The 16,714-nt window shown below is 37.9% G+C and overlaps 2 protein-coding genes across 3 annotated transcripts in view; one reads left to right on the forward strand and one right to left on the reverse strand.

The window, feature by feature from the left end:
• MMP26 (matrix metallopeptidase 26) overlaps positions 1-16,714 on the forward strand; it is a 287,646-nt gene that overhangs the window by 136,612 nt on the left and 134,320 nt on the right. The gene's annotated exons all lie outside the window — the stretch shown is intronic.
• OR51S1 (olfactory receptor family 51 subfamily S member 1) lies at positions 6,842-7,813 on the reverse strand. Its single transcript, NM_001004758.1, has one exon. The coding sequence runs from the start codon at positions 7,811-7,813 to the stop codon at positions 6,842-6,844; it is 972 nt and encodes a 323-aa protein (NP_001004758.1).

Raw genomic sequence — 16,714 nt, forward strand, 5'->3', positions numbered from 1 at the left:
TATAATGAAAGGATCCTAAAAGCTGCAAGAGAAAAGAAACCAATATATCTGACAGCAGACTTTTCACTTGAAACTTACAGGCCAGGAGAGAGTAACATAAGATAATTAAAGTGCTCTCAAGGAAGAGTTCTTTTACCCAAGAATAATATATCCAGTGAAAATATCTTTAAAAGATGAAGAAGAAATAAAGACTTTCCCAGACAAACAAAGTTGAGAAATTTCCTCAACACCAGACCTGTTCTATAAGAAATGCTAGCCCGAGCATGGCGGCTCACATCTGTAATCCCAGCACTTTGGGAGGCCGAAGCAGGCAGATCACCTGAGGTCAGGAGTTCGAGACCAGTCTGACCAACATGGAGAAACCCCGTCTCTACTAAAAATACAAAAATTAGCCATGTGAGTTTGTGCGTGCCTGTAATCCCAGCTACTCCGGAGGCTGAGGCAGGAGAATCACTTGAACCTCAGTGGCAGAGGTTGTGGTGAGCCAAGATCACGCCACTGCACTGCAGCCTGGGCAACAAGAGCAAAACTCTGTCTCAAAGGGAGTTCTTTAATCTGAAAGAACAGGACATTAATGAGCAATAAATAATCACTTTAAGGTAGTAATACAAAAGTCATTGGCAATAGTAAGTACCTAGGAAAACACAATATTATAACACTATAACTGTGGTGTGTAAACTACTCTTATGCCAAGTAGCAGGTCTAAAAATAAATAAATAAAAAATAATAGCTACATCAACTTTTCAAGACATAGACAGCACAATAAGGTATAAACAGAAAAAAATATTAAAATGCAGCAGAAACAAAGTTAAGGTGCAGTTTTTATTGGTTTTCTTTTAGCTTGTTTAGGCAAAGAGTGTTAAGTTGTTATTAGGTTAAAATAATGGGTTATAAAATAGTATTTGAAAGCCTCATGGTATATTAGTTCATGCTTACATTGCTATAAAGAATTACCTGAAACTGGGTAGTTTATAAATTAAAGAGGTTTCATTGTCTCACAGTTCCACAGACTGTACAGGAGGCAAGGCTGTGGAGGCCTCAAGAAACTTACAATCATGGTGGAAGGTGAAGAGGAAGCAATCACGTCTTCACATGGTGACGGGAGAGAGACAGAGTGAAGAGGGAAGTGCCACACACTTTTAAATCATCAGATAACATGAGAAGTTACTCACTATCATGAGAACAGCATGATTTAATCATCTCCCATCAGGTCCCTCTCTCCACGTTGGGAATTACAATTCAACATGAGATTTGGGTGGGGACACAGAGCCAAAACATATCATTCTGCCCCTTGACCCTCCAAAATCTCAAGGCCTTCTCACATTTCAAAACACAATCCTGCTTTCCCTATAGTCCCCCAAAGTCTTAAATCATTCCAGCATTAACTCAAATCTCCAAGTCCAAAGTCTTACCTGAGACAAGGCAAGTTTCTCACACTGGTGAACTTGTAAAATGAAAAACAAGTTATTTACTTACAAGAGAAAATGGGGGTACAGGCATTGGGTAAATGCTCCCATTTTTAATGGAAAAAATTGGCCAAAACCAAGGGGCTACAGTTCCCATGCAAGTCCGAAACCCAGCAGGGCAGTCATTAAATCTTAAATCCTCAAAATAATCTCCTCTGACCCCATGTCTCTCACCCAGGGCATGCTGATGCAAGGCGTGGCCTCTCAAGGCCTTCAGCACCTGTGCCCCTGTGGCTATTCAGGATACAGCCCCTGCAGTTGCTTTCACAGGCTGGCTTTGAGTGCTTGCAGCTTTTCCAGGTGCATGGTGCAAGCTATCGGTGGATCTGCCATTCTGGAGTATGGATAATGGTGGCTCTCTTCTCACAGATCCATTAGGCAGTGCCCCAGTGGGAACTCTGTGTGGGGGCTCCAACCCTACATTTCCTCACTCCACTGCCTTAGTAGAAGTTCTCCATGAGAGCACCACCCCTGCAGCAGACTTCTGCCTGGACATCCAGGCTTTTCCATACATCCTCTGCAATCTAGGTAGAGGCTCCCAAACCTAAACTCTTGCCTTCTGTACACCCACAGGCCCAATACCACATGGAAGCTGCTATGGCTTGGGACCTGCACCCTCTGAAGGAATAGTCCGAGCTGTACCTTGGCTCCTTTTAGCAATGGCTGGAGCTGGAGTGGCTGGAACGCAGGGTGCCATGTCTCAAGGATGCATAGATCAATGGGGCCCTGGGCCTGGCTCACAAAACCACTTCTCCCTCCTTGGCCTCCAGGCCTGTAGTGGGAGGGGCTGCAGTGAAGGTCTGAAATACCTGGGAGACATTTTCCCCATTGTGGTGGCTATTAACGTTTGGCTCCTCTTTATTTATTCAAATTTATGCAGCTGGCTCTAATTTATCCCCAGAAAAATAGGTTTTTATTGCCTACCACATGGTCAGGCTGCAAATTTCCCAAACTCATATGTTCTGCTTCCCTTTTAAATATAAATTTCAGTTTCAGATATAAGCTCTTTGTTCATGCATATGGGTGTACACCGTTATAAGAAGAAAATAAATAATAAAGATCAGAGCAGAAATAAATAAAATTGAAACAAAGAAAACAACACAAATGATCAATAAAACAAAAAGGTTTTTTGAAAAGTTAAATTTCCCCAAAATTGACCAACTTTTAGCCAGACTAAGAAAGAATAAGAGATGATCCAAATAAATAAAATTTGAAATGAAAAAGGAAACATTACAACTGATACTGAAGAAATTTAAAGGATAATGGCTATCACGAGCAAGTATATGCCAATAAATTAGAAAATCTAGAAGTAATGGAGAAGTTCCTAGATGCATACACCCTACCAAGATTGAACCACGAAGAAATCCAAAATATAAACAGACAAATAACAAGTAACAAGATCAAAGCCACAATGAAAAGCCTTCCCATAAAGAAAAGCCTGGGATACGATGGATTCACTGCTGAATTCCACCAACCAATTAAATAATTAATACCAATCCTACTCAAACTATTCCAAAATATGGAAGAGGAAGGAATACTTCCACACTCATTCTATGAGGTCAGTATTACCATGATACTAAAACCAAAGACTCATCAAAAAAAGAAAACTACAGGCCAGTATCTCTGATAAATGTTGATGCAAAAATCCTCAACAAAATACTAGCAAGCTGAATTCAAAAAAACATTAGAAAGATAATTCATCATGAGCAAGTGGGCTGTATCCCTGGGACACAAGAATGGTTCAACATATGAAAATCAATCAATGGGATACATTCTATCAACAGAATGAAGGATAAAAACCATATGATCATTTCAATTAATGCTGAAAAAGCATGTGACAAAATTCAACACCCCTTCATAATAAAATCCCTTAAAATGGGTATAGAAGGAACATATCTCAAAATAGTAAAAGCCAGATATGACAGACCCACAACTAGTATCACACTGAGGAAAAACTGAAAGCCTTTACTCTAAGATCTAAAACACTAGAAGGATGTTCACTGTCACCACTATTATTCAACACAGTATTGGAAGTCCTAGCTAGAGTATTAAGAAAAGGAAATAAAGTCATCCAAATTGGAATGGAAAAATTCAGATTATTCTTATTTTCAGAAGATACGATCTTATATTTGGAAAAACCTAGAGACTTTACCAAAACAATTATTAGAACTGAGGAACAAATTCAGTAAATTTGCAGGATACAAAATTAGCATACAAAAATCAGTAGCATTTCTATAAGCCAACAGTGATCAAAAATTAAAAAGAAAAAGAAATTAAAAAGTAATCTCATTTACAATAGCCACATGTAAAATTAAATACCTAAAAATTAATTGAACCAAATAAATAAAAGATATCTACAATGAAAACTATAAAACACGGATGAAAGAAGTTGAAGAGGGTACCAAGAAATTGAAAAGTATTCTAAGTTCATGGACTGAAAGAATAAATATTGTTAAAATGTCCATACCGTCCAAAGCACTCTATAGATTTAATGCAATTCCAATGAAAATATCAATGACATTCTTCACAGAAATAGAAAAAACAATCTTAATTTGTATGGAACCATAAAATAACCAGAATAGCCAAATTATTTAAGTGAAAACTACTACAGAAAACTTTGGGGAAACTACTACAAAAAAACATTGGGGAAATTCTCCAGGACATTGATCTGGGTAAAAATTTCTTGAGCAATATCCCACAAGCACAGGCAACCTAAGCAAAAATGGACAAATAGGATCACATTAAGTTAAAAAGCTTCTGCATAGCAAATAAAACAATCCACAAAGTGAAGAGACAACCCACAGAATGGAAGGAAATATTTGCAAACTACCCATCTGACAAAGGATTAATAACTAGAATATATAAGGAGCTCTACAACTCCACATGGAAAAAAACCAATAATCTAATCAATAATGGGCAAAAGAGGTACATAAACATTTCTCAAATGAAGAAAAACAATGACAAACAGGCATCTGTAAAAGTTCTCCACATCCTTGATCATCAGAGAAACTCAAATCAAAGCTATCATGAGATCTCATCTCACTCCAGTTAAAATGGCTGATATCCAAAAGACAGACAATGCTGCCAAGGTGGGAATGTAAGTAAGTACAACTACTTTGGAGAATGGTTTAGAGGTTCCTCAATAAACTAAAATTAGAGCTTCCCTATGATCCAGCTATCCCACTGCTGTTATATACCCAAAAGAAAGGAAATCAGTATATTAAAGACGTATCTGCACTCCCATGTTTGCTGCAGCATGGTTCACAATAGCTATGATTTGGAAGCAACCTAAGCATTCATCAACAGACAAATAGATAAAGAAAATGTGCTATATATACACAATGGAGTACTATTCAGCCATAAAATGAATGAGATCCTATCATTTGCAACAGTATGGATGAAATTAAAGGTCATTATATTAAGTGACATATGCCAGGCACAGAAAAACAAACATTGCATGTTCTCACTTATTTGTGGGATCTAAAAATGAAAACAATTGTACTCATGGACAAAGAGAATAGGATGTTTACCAGAGGCTGGGAAGGGTAGTGGGAACCTGGGGGAGAGGTGAGCATGGTTAATGGGTATAAAAAATAATAGAAAGAATGAATAAGACCTACTATTTGATAGTGCAATAGAGTGACTCTAGTCAATAATAACTTAATCACACGTTTTAAGATATCTAAAGGAATGTAATTGGATTGTTTATAACACAGAGGATAACTGCTTGAGGGGATAGATACCCCATTCTTCATGATGTGATTATTTCACATTGCATGCCTGTATCAAAACATCTCATGTACCCCATAAATATATAAACCTACTGTGTACCCACAAAAATAAAAAATATATATTTATTAAAGTTAGTCAATTATTGTGCTACAACAATAGTGCTCCTCATAACACACATGTGATTAATTGTATTGGCATCAAAAAAATAGATTAACCATGTTCACAGAATAAGACTGTAATTACTCTGTTAGTTAACTTTTGCTGTATACCAACTACAAAATATCAGATGCTTACAACTACAGCATTTGTTATAATTCTCACTGGTCAGTAGGTTGTCAGAGACCCTCTTCATCTAGGCTGCTTTGACTTGCTGGCTTTGCTTCAGTTCTCTGGGAACCAGGGACTGGCTCCAGGCTCTGAATTTGGCTCAGGTTTGCACCATGTACCTCCTTCTGGAAACCAGATTCAAGGGGAATTACCTACTAGGTTAGCACTACCCCAGTACAAGAAATCAAACCCTGCAGCAAAATCACACTGAAGCTCTTGCTTTTATCACATCCACTAACATCCTATTGACCAAAACAAGTCATGAGGACCACAATGGCCAGAGAAAATTATGTGTCTAAAGTGAGAGTGAATGTAAATACAATCCGTCCACTTTGTCCCTCCTGATGTGGATGTGAATGTATACTGCTGCTACTAGGAAGTAAAGAATTGAGACCGATAATTCCAAATGCCACTTGTAAGATTCCATTTACATAAAACATTATAAGTGTTCACTAAACAGATAATTATAGTTAAGTTTGGGGGATGTAATTTAAGATTATTCTTATTTGTTCTATTTTTTCTGAAATATGCAAAAATTTAAAAAATTAAATTAAATTTTATTTTAAACTGACAATAATTATGCATAGTCATAGTGATGTTTTGGTGCATACCATGTATAGTGATCAGATCAGGGTGATTAGCATATTTATAATCTCAAACATTTCTCATTTCTTTGTGTTGAGGACATTCAATATACATATGTATTCAAAAATATACTAACATTTTGAAAACTAAATGAAGAATTAAAAAAATTATATTCCCTCTTTTTTTCCTGGCCTGATCAGAGTTAAATAACCTATCTCTTGGTGTGAAGAATCTAAATGAGAGACTTACTTGCATTTTCCTCATGTATCTAATTCCTAAGGATTGGTCAGAATTCTTACTTCTTAAGGAGGTACAATACAAATGGAAGATCTTCTATCTAGTTGAGAAGAATGCTTCTGTCTTATTTTTCCTTTGCTATGTAGATGATTAACTCTTCTAGCTTTATCCAGTATTAAGGTATAGATATAGTGACAGGACTAACAACAATAAGATAACAACAGGCACACACTTGGATAGTTGTGACAAGATCTGGACTCTGGCCCTTCCTATGTCATTGATATGTAATGTACCAGTGGGTGGATCATGTTCATTCTTTGGGGCTTGTAAGTTTGCATCAATATACACAGGCATACTTCCAGGGACAGGAAGCTACATGCACATATATGCACTTATGTGTACGTGAATGATCATTTCATGCTTGGTGAGCTGAGTTCTCACAGAAACTTTAGTATCAGGAGCCCTGTACCACCAAACACGGAGGGACATCCTACTCACTGAGCACCACCCACCTTCCTGGGCTGCAACCTGTTGAGTATTCTCTTTCTAATCTCCTTCATCTTGACACTATAGAGAATAGGGTTTATCAATGGAGGAAGAAGGAAATGGACATAGGATAGAAGAGTATGGGTATGCTGAGTGATTGGCAGCTCAGGATGGTTAATCAGTGCCAGGAGGATCATAGGGATATAGAAGAGGAGCACTGCAGAGAGGTGGGCAGCACAGGTTTGACCAGCCTTCCAGCGATCCTCTCTGGACTCCACACCTTGCAACACCTTGCCAATCAGGCCATAGGAGAAGAAAATAAGCAGGGGGTCCAAACCCATGGCTGAAAGAACCACAAATAGGCTGTAGGCTGCACCCCAAGCTTCTGGGCAGGCCAAACGAGCCACATCTGGATGCAAGCAATAAGAATGGGTTAGGACCTGTGGGAGGCAGTAGGGCATGTAGGCCAGCAGGAATGGCAGGGGCAGATGGAGACCCAGGCATCGAAAAGAAATGGCCAGGCTGATTTTGCTAATTACACCATTGGTGAGGAGCGCTGGGTAGTGGAGAGGTCGGCAGATGGCCAGTGCCCGATCAATGGACATGGCGAGCAAGACAGAGGACTCCATGACAGAAAAGACATGGATAAAAACCATCTGTAGAAGGCAGGCTGAGGCAGGGACAGTGTGAGCACCAGCAAGGGCGATGCCCAGCAGTGTGGGCATCAGGGCAGTGACCAATCCAATATCAGACACACTAAGCAAGAAGAGGAAGAAGTGCATTGGGCGGTGCAGGGCGGGCTGCAGGGCAATGATCCAGAGGATGGTGCCATTTCCCAGTGCAGAGAGAAGGTAGACAGCAATGAGGGGCAATGTCCACCAGGAGGGTGCACCTGATAGGCCTGGCATGCCCACCAGCAAGAAGGTGGGGGCCATTGAAGTGCTGCTATTGGGGGCTATCTGAGTTGGTAATGTTGACATAGTTCAGGATTCCACGTTGAACTCTGGAACCTGAAAAATGATTAGAAAGGTTTACTTAATCGCGTGCCAAATTTGCATGAAACGTTCCAAAATAGCCTGCATCTTCCCTTCCCTGACTCATGCACTCACATACACGTACACATATACACATTTCCTCCCTGTGCACGCACCCATCCTAATAGTATATGCAGCATTCATTCCTTGCCTTTGAGGTTTTTCTATAGCTGTCCTCATAGCTCTGTGGTTCTGTTTCTTTTCCTAGATTGTTTTCACATGTTTTTTTAGCTTGCCTCTCCCTGTAGTGTTATCCTATTTTTTCCCTCCCTTTATGACAAACACTTTAGGAAACAGTCCATTTATCCATATTTTTTTCTCTTCCCAACCCCAGACAGTCTGACTTCTAGACTGCCTTAAGATACTTACATTTTGGTGCACTTTAACTGTTCTTATTAAGTCCCCAATTACTCCTTTATTTCTAAATTAAGGGGCACTCATTTTTTCTAAGCTTGATTTATTTCTTAATGAGCTTTGGCTACTATGGATCTATTTTTTACTTTTTTAAAAATTCTCCCTTTCAGAATTTAGCCTTTTACTTAACTTTGCTGTGTCCCTATGATTTATACATGGGTATTTAAAATTTTTATTTTATTGAAATGTAATAATTGCACATATTTAAAGGGGTGCATGTGGTATTTTGTTACATGCATAGAATGTGAAATGATAAAGTCAGGGTATTTAGGACATCCATCGCCTTGAGTAATTATAATTTTTATATGTTGGAACATTTCAAGTTCTGTCTACTAGCTATTTTGAAATATACAATACATTGTTGTTAACTATAGTCACCCTACTTGGCTACTGAACATTATAACTTATTTCTTCTATCTAAGTGTATGTTTATATTTTTGAGATATTTTTCCTTGGCCCTCTTTATTTTCCTAAGTGGTCTTATCTACTCTCATGACATCAACTCGAGTCTACAAACAGATGAATTACTAATATATATTCCCAGATCCTTCTAGGTTCATCTTACCTTGGATGTTCCAGGCAATTTAAATTCAAATAATCCAAAGCAGATCTTAACAGACACATCTTAATGCCTCTTTCAGAGTCATCAGTTAGGAAACAGTGAAGAGGAATTTATGTCAATAGCAAAACCAATAAGACACTCGTTTGTTCCCTAAGTCAGTTGTTGGTGCCACCATTAATCAATTTCCCAAAATAAAAACCTGAGAATTAGCTTCTCCTCACATGTAATATCCAAATATTATTTATAATTTTAACAAGAAGGACTGGACACACACCATAGTCATATTTTCTTCCCTGCCCAAATGCCCAGAAAGATTGGAACTGAAATTCTGGACAAAAAGACCACGAAAATTGGGATCTAAAGAAAAGTAAAATAAAAAAACTTGCTAGGTTTTGTTTTCAGGATAATGATATAGATACAAGTTAACCCTAAACATTTATTACAAAAATTCCAAATACATATGTTATAAAATATTATGTTAAAATTTTAAATAAAATATAACTTTCAAGCTAAAAAAGGAAGATAAATGCAACAAAAACCTTAATCCCACAGACTTTTAAAAAGCAATAAATAGAAACAGACATTCATTTCCAGTGTGATGGAGTGAGGAGGCTAACCCTAAACATTTATTACAAAAATTCCAAATACATATGTTATAAAATATTATGTTAAATTTTTTAATAAAATATAACTTTCAAGCTAAAAAAGGAAGATAAATGCAACAAAACCCTTAATCCCACAGACTTTTAAAAAGCAATAAATAGAAACAGACATTCATTTCCAGTGTGATGGAGTGAGGAGGCTAACACATCCTCTCCCCTACAAAGCATGTATAAAGCTGGCAAGCTGTCAATAAGATCCATTTTGACACCCTGGAAATCCATTAGAGATATAAGCTTGTTTATTGAAACGACTGAACTTTGGAAAATAACAGCCAGTTGCCTAGCATTTTGGCAAGGCTGCTTCATTCCACTGCCTCCAGCTCTATCAACAGTGGTCAGATAAGGAAACCCCACAGCTTTGTTCCTGTACTCGTGAGGCAGCTTCCGTGATTTGGAGCTCTGTCAGTTAGCACGGCAATTTTGGTGGCAAGGAAATAGGGAGGGCCAGCAACTCCACTACCCTGAGGTTCTGGTCCTCTTTGGGGTAATGTGTCCACCAGCAGACTAGGTGAGGATTTAACACAGAGTTCTGGCTGAAAAATAAAACCAGATGGTAACTGGAATCTATAGGAAGAAATGAAGAGTACTGGACATACTCAATATATGGGTAAATGTGAAGGACTCTATACACGTTTTAGTTAATTTTCCCTAAATTTCCTTAACAGGCTTGAATTGGATGAAAAAATAATTATAATACTCTATTGTCGAGTAAATTATATATATTATATATGTGTGTGTCTGTATATGTATGTATATATATTATAATAATAGCACAACAAGGGGGAGGAATTAAACATTTATTAAAACAAAACTTTTGAATTTTACTGGAATTAAGTTAATATTATTCTGAAGTAAATTATATAGTAATGTGCATATTGTAATTTATAGAACAATCACTAATAAAATGGTAAAAAAATAAAAAGATGAATTGAAATCATTCACCAAAAACATTTAAACAAATGTAATGCAATGAAAAAGCAGTGGAACAAAAAAAGACACAAGACTAACAGAAAACAAATAGCAAAATGACAGGTGAAATTTCAACCATATCAATAATCACAAAGTGAATGGACTAAGCATGCATCATAAAAGGCACATTGTTATGTAGAATAGAAAAGCAAGTTATAACTATATTCTGTATACAAAAGACATACCATAGATTCAAAGAAGTAAATAGTTGAAAGTAAGAAGGTCGAAAATTATATACCCCACAAAAATACGTGAGAGATGGAGTGGCTATACTAATATCATATAACAATCATAAATGCATATATAAAGAACACTAGATCCCTAAAATACATGAACCAAAACTGATAAAATTAAAGAGTGAGATAAGCAATTTACCAATAATAGTTGAAGATTTTAATATCCCAAACTCAATAATTGATAAAACAATTGAAAAAAATACACAAGGAAATAGAAATCTTTTGAAAAACACCATGAATCGGAAATGACATTTATATAATACTCTCCACAATAGCAGACTGCATATTCTTTTCAAGCACATATAGAATTTTCTGTGTGAAGAACTGTAGGCTGGGAGGCAAAATAAGCTTTAATAATTTTTAAAATATTCATATCATACAGAGCATATTCATTTCTCAAATCAATAACCTAAGCTTCCTTAAGTATTTACAAAACAAAGAACGATCAATAGCCAAACTAAACAAGTGTTGGTGAGAATGTGGAGAAAAGGGAATCCTTTACATTGTTGGTAGGAGTATAAATTTGTACACCCATTATGAAGAATAGTATAAAAGTTCTTCAAAAAATTGAAAATAAAACCACCATATTATTCAGCATTCCCACTTCTGGATATGTATTCAATGGAAAGAAAGCCATGATCTCAAAGAGATATCTTCACTCCCGTGTCCATTGAAGCATTATTCATAATAGCCAAGATATGGAAACAAGTGTTCATTGATGTACGAAGAGGTTAAAAAGTGTGATAGATATATAATATTCAGCCTTAAAAAAGAAAAACAACCTGTCATTTGCAACAGCATGGATAAATATGGAGGATATTATGCCAAGTGAAATAAGTCAGACACAGTAAGAAAAATGCTGCACGACCTCACTTTTGTGTGAACTCTAACAAAGTCAAACTCATAGAAACAGAACAGAAGGGTGATTATCAGGGTTTGAGGGGATGTGGGGGAAATAGGGAAATGTGAGTCAAAGGATAGAAACTTACAGTTATAAGATGTGTAAGTGTTAGAGGCTTAATGTACAGCATGATGATTATAGGTATTAATAATATATTGTATACTTGAAATTTGCCAAAGGGCACCTCTTAGGTATCCTCCAAACACACACACCCATACAAACATGCACACACACACATACAAGGGTAACTATGTGAGGTAATAAATATGTTAATTGGCTTGATTGTGGTCAACATTTCACAAGGTATACATATATCAAAACATCATATTGTACACCTTGAATATAGACAATTTTAAAATGTCAATTATACTTTAATAAAGCTGAAAATAATGGAATAAAATTAAAAAAACAAAATAAGTACAGGTGACATAATTAAAGATTAAAAAATTGAAAACCCTTAGCAAGCCTTAAAGAGAAAACAAAAGATGCAAATTACCAAAATCAGGAATGCAATGTGGGATAACACTATTAGACAATTAGTTGAAATTTTTAAAATCCTAGAAAAATAAAAATTATAAAACTGACTCAAGAAGAAATAGCAATTCTAAACAGACCTATAACAAATAAAGTCAATTACTAATTAAAACTCTTCCTACTAAAAAATGCCAAGGTCCAGATGATTTCATGGGTGAATTAGATCACATATTAAAAGAAGAAATAATAACTAATGCTTCTCATAATGCTTTAAAAATAGAGAAGGATTTTATAAAATCCTACTCAATCCAGAAGTAGAGTGTAATCTTGATTCTAAAGCCAAATCATAACAAAAAACATAGCACTGACAAATTTTCCTGAAGTAAATAGACATATAAATTCTTAATATTAGCAAATTAAATTTGGCTACATAAAAAAAAAATTCTGCACTGTGATTTTGTGGAATTTATGCGTAAGTGCAGAGTTGGTTTTGTATTTCAACATCAACTAATACACATTAGAAAAAAGGACAAAAATTGCATGGTCATCTCAATAGGCACAGAAAATCATGTGTCAAATCATGTACTCACTCATGATAAAAACTCTAAATAAGGAGGGTTCCAAGATGGCTGAATAGGAACAGCTCCAGTCTATAGCTCCCAGCATGAGTGACACAGAAGACGGGTGATTTCTACATTTCCAACTGAGGCACCAGGTTCATCTCACTGGGGCTTGTTGGACAGTGGGTGCAGGCCACAGAGTGTGAGCTGAAACAGGGCGGGGCATCGCCTCACCTGGGAAGTGCAAGGGGTCAGGGAATTCCCTTTCCTAGCCAAGGGAAGCTGTGACAGATGGTACCAGGAAAATCGGGACACTCCTACCCTAATACTGCGCTTTTCCAACAGTCTTAGCAAATGGCACAACAGGACATTGTATCCCACGCCTGGCTCGGAGGGTCCCACGCCCACGGAACCTTGCTCATTGCTAGCACAGTGGTCCAAGACCAGACTGCAAGGCAGCAGCAAGGCCAGGGGAGGGGCGTCTGACATTGCTGAGGCTTGAGTAGGTAAACAAAGCAGCCTGGAAGTTCAAACTGGGTGGAACCCACCTCAGCTCAAGGAGGCCTGCCTGCCTCTGTAGATTCCACCTCTGGGGGCAGGTCATAGCTGAACAAAAGGCAGCAGAAACTTCTGCAGACTTAAATGTCCCTGTTTGACAGCTTTGAAGAGAGTAGTGGTTATCCCAGCAAGGAGTTTGAGATCTGAGAATGGACAGACTGTCTCCTCAAGTGGGTCCCTGACCCTCGAGTAGCCTAACTGGGAGACATCCCCCAGTAGGGGCCAACTGACACCTCTTACAGCTGGTTGCCCCTCTGAGACGAAGCTTCCAGAGGAAGGATCAAGCAGCAACATTTGCTGTTCTGCAATATTTGCTGTTCTGCAGCCTCCGCTGGTGATACCCAAGCAAACAGGGTCTGGAGCGGACCTCCAGCAAACTCCAACAGAGCTACAGCTAAGGGTCCTGACTGTTAGAAGGAAAACTAACAAACATAAAGGACATCCACACCAAAACCCCATCTCTAGGTCACCATCATGAAAGACCAAAGGTAGATAAAACCACAAAGATGGGGAGAAAACAGAGCAGAAAAGCTGAAAATTCCAAAAATCAGAGCGCCTCTTCTACCCCAAAGGAACACAGCTCCTCACCAGCAGTACAACAAAGCTGGACAGAGAAGGACTTTGACGAGTTGACAGAAGTAGGCCTCAGAAGATCAGTAATAACAAACTTCTCTGAGCTAAAGGAGGATGTTTGAACCCATTGCAAAGAAGCTGAAAACCTTGAAAAAAGATTAGATGAATGGCTAACTAGGATAAACAGCATAGAGAAGACCTTAAATGACCTGAAATGAGCTGGAAACCATGGCACGAGAACTACGTGATGCATGCACAAGCTTCAGTAGACGATTCGATCAAGTGGAAGAAAGGGTATCAGTGATTGAAGATCAAATCAATGAAGTGAAGCAAGAAGAGAAGTTTAGAGAAAAAAGAGTAAAAAGAAAAGAACAAAGCCTCCAAGAAATATGAGACTATGTGAAAAGACCAAATCTACGTCTGATTGGTGTACCTGAAAGTGACAGGGAGAATGGAATGAAGTTAGAAAACACTCTTCAGGATATTATCCAGGAGAACTTCCCCAACCTAGCAAGGCAGACCAACATTCAAATTCAGGAAATATAGAGAACGCCACAATGATACTCCTCGAGAAGAGCAACTCCAAGACACATAACTGTCAGATTCACCAAAGTTGAAATGACGGGAAAAATGTTAAGGGCAGCCAGAGAGAAAGGTCGCGTTACCCACAAAGGGAAGCCCACCACATTAACAGTGGATCTCTTGGCAGAAACTCTACAAGCCAGAAGAGAGTGGGGGCCAATATTCAACATTCTTAAAGAAAAGAATTTTCAACCCAGAATTTCATATCCAGCCAAACTAAGCTTCATAAGTGAAGGAGAAATAAAATCCTTTACAGACAAGCAAATGCTGAGAGATTTTGTCACCACCAGGCCTGCCTTACAAGAGCTCACGAAGGAAGCACTAAACATGGAAAGGACAACCAGTAGCAGCCACTGAAAAAACATGCCAAATTGTAAAGACCATCGATGCTAGGAAGAAACTGCATCAACTAATGAGCAAAATAACCAGCTAACATCATAATGACAGGATCAAATTCACACATAACAATATTAACCTTAAATGTAGATGGGCTAAATGTTCCAATTAAAAGACACAGACTGGCAAATTGGATAAACAGTCAAGACCCATCAGTGTGCTGTATTCAGGAGACCCATCTCACTTGCAGAGACACACATAGGCTGAAAATAAAGGGATGGAGGAAGATCTACCAAGCAAATGGAAAACCAAAAAAAGCAGGGATTGCAATCCTAGTCTCTGATAAAACAGACTTTTAACCAACAAAGATCAAAAGAGACAAAGAAGGCCATTACATAATGGTAAAGGGATCAATTCAACAAGAAGAGCTAACTGTCCTAAATATATATGCGCCCAATACAGGAGCACCCAGATTCATAAAGCAAGTCCTGAGTGACCTACAAAGAGACTTAGACTCCCACACAATAATAATGGGAGGGTTTAACACCCCACTGTCAACATTAGACAGATCAATGAGACAGAAGGTTAACAAGGATATCCAGGACTTGAACTCAGCTCTGCACCAAGCAGACCTAATAGACATCTACAGAACTCTCCACCCCAAATCAACAGAATACACATTCTTCTCAGCACCACGTCGCACTTATTCCAAAATTGACCACATACTTGGAAGTAAAGCACTCCTCAGCAAATGTAAAAGAACAGAAACTATAACAAACTGTCCCTCAGACCACAGTTCAATCAAATTAGAACTCAGGATTAAGAAACTCACTCAAAACCGCACAACTACATGGAAACTGAACAGCCTGCTCCTGAATGACTACTGGGTACATAACAAAATGAAGGCAGAAATAAAGATGTTCTTTGAAACCAGTGAGAACAAAGACACAACATACCAGAATCTCTGGGACACATTTAAAGCAGTGTGTAGAGGGAAATTTATAGCACTAAATGCCCACAAGAGAAAGCAGGAAAGATCTAAAATCGACACCCTAACATCACAATTAAAAGAACTAGAGAAGGAAGAGCAAACACATTCAAAAGCTAGCAGAAGACAAGAAATAACTAAGATCAGAGCAGAATTGAAGGAGATAGAGACACAAAAAAACCCTTAAAAAAAAATCAGTGAAACCAGGAGCTGGTTTGTTAAAAAGATTAACAAAATTGATAGACTGCTAGCAAGACTAATAAAGAAGAAAAGAGAGAAGAATCAAATAGACACAATAAAAATGATAAAGGGGATATCACCACCAATCTCACAGAGATACAAACTACCATCAGAGAATACTATAAACACCTCTGTGCAAATAAACTAGAAAATCTAGAAGAAATGGATAAATTCCTGGACACATACTCTCTCCCAAGACTAAACCAGGAAGAAGTTGAATCCCTGAATAGACCAATAACAGGCTCTGAAATTGAGGCAATAATTAATAGCCTACCAACCAAAAAAAGTCCAGGACCAGAGGGATTCACAGCCGAATTCTACCAGAGGTACAAGGAGGAGCTGGTACCATTCCTTCTGAAACTATTCCAATCAATAGAAAAAGAGGGAATCCTCCCTAAATCATTTTATGAGGCCAGCATCATCCTGATACCAAGGCCAGGCAGAGACACAACAAAAAAACAGAATTTCAGACCAATATCCCTGATGAACATCAATGCAAAAATACTCAATAAAATACTGGCAAACCGAATCCAGCAGCACATCAAAAAGCTTATCCGCCACGATCATGTTGGCTTCATCCCTGGGATGCAAGGCTGGTTCGACATATGCAAATCAATAAACGTAATCCATCATATAAACAGAACCAAAGACAAAAACCACATGATTATCTCAATAGATGCAGAAAAGGCTTTCGACAAAATTCAACAGCCCTTCATGCTCAAAACTCTCAATAAACTAGGTGTCGATGGGACGTATCTCAAAATAATAAGAGCTATTTATGACAGACCCAGA

This window comes from Homo sapiens, chromosome 11 (genome assembly GCF_000001405.40).
Source record: "Homo sapiens chromosome 11, GRCh38.p14 Primary Assembly".
In the NCBI taxonomy this organism is placed as follows: Eukaryota; Metazoa; Chordata; class Mammalia; order Primates; family Hominidae; genus Homo; species Homo sapiens.

Coding starts and splice junctions, on each gene's coding strand:
- OR51S1 (NM_001004758.1), bottom strand. CDS start 7,813: ATGTCAACATTACCAACTCAGATAGCCCCCAATAGCAGCACTTCAATG.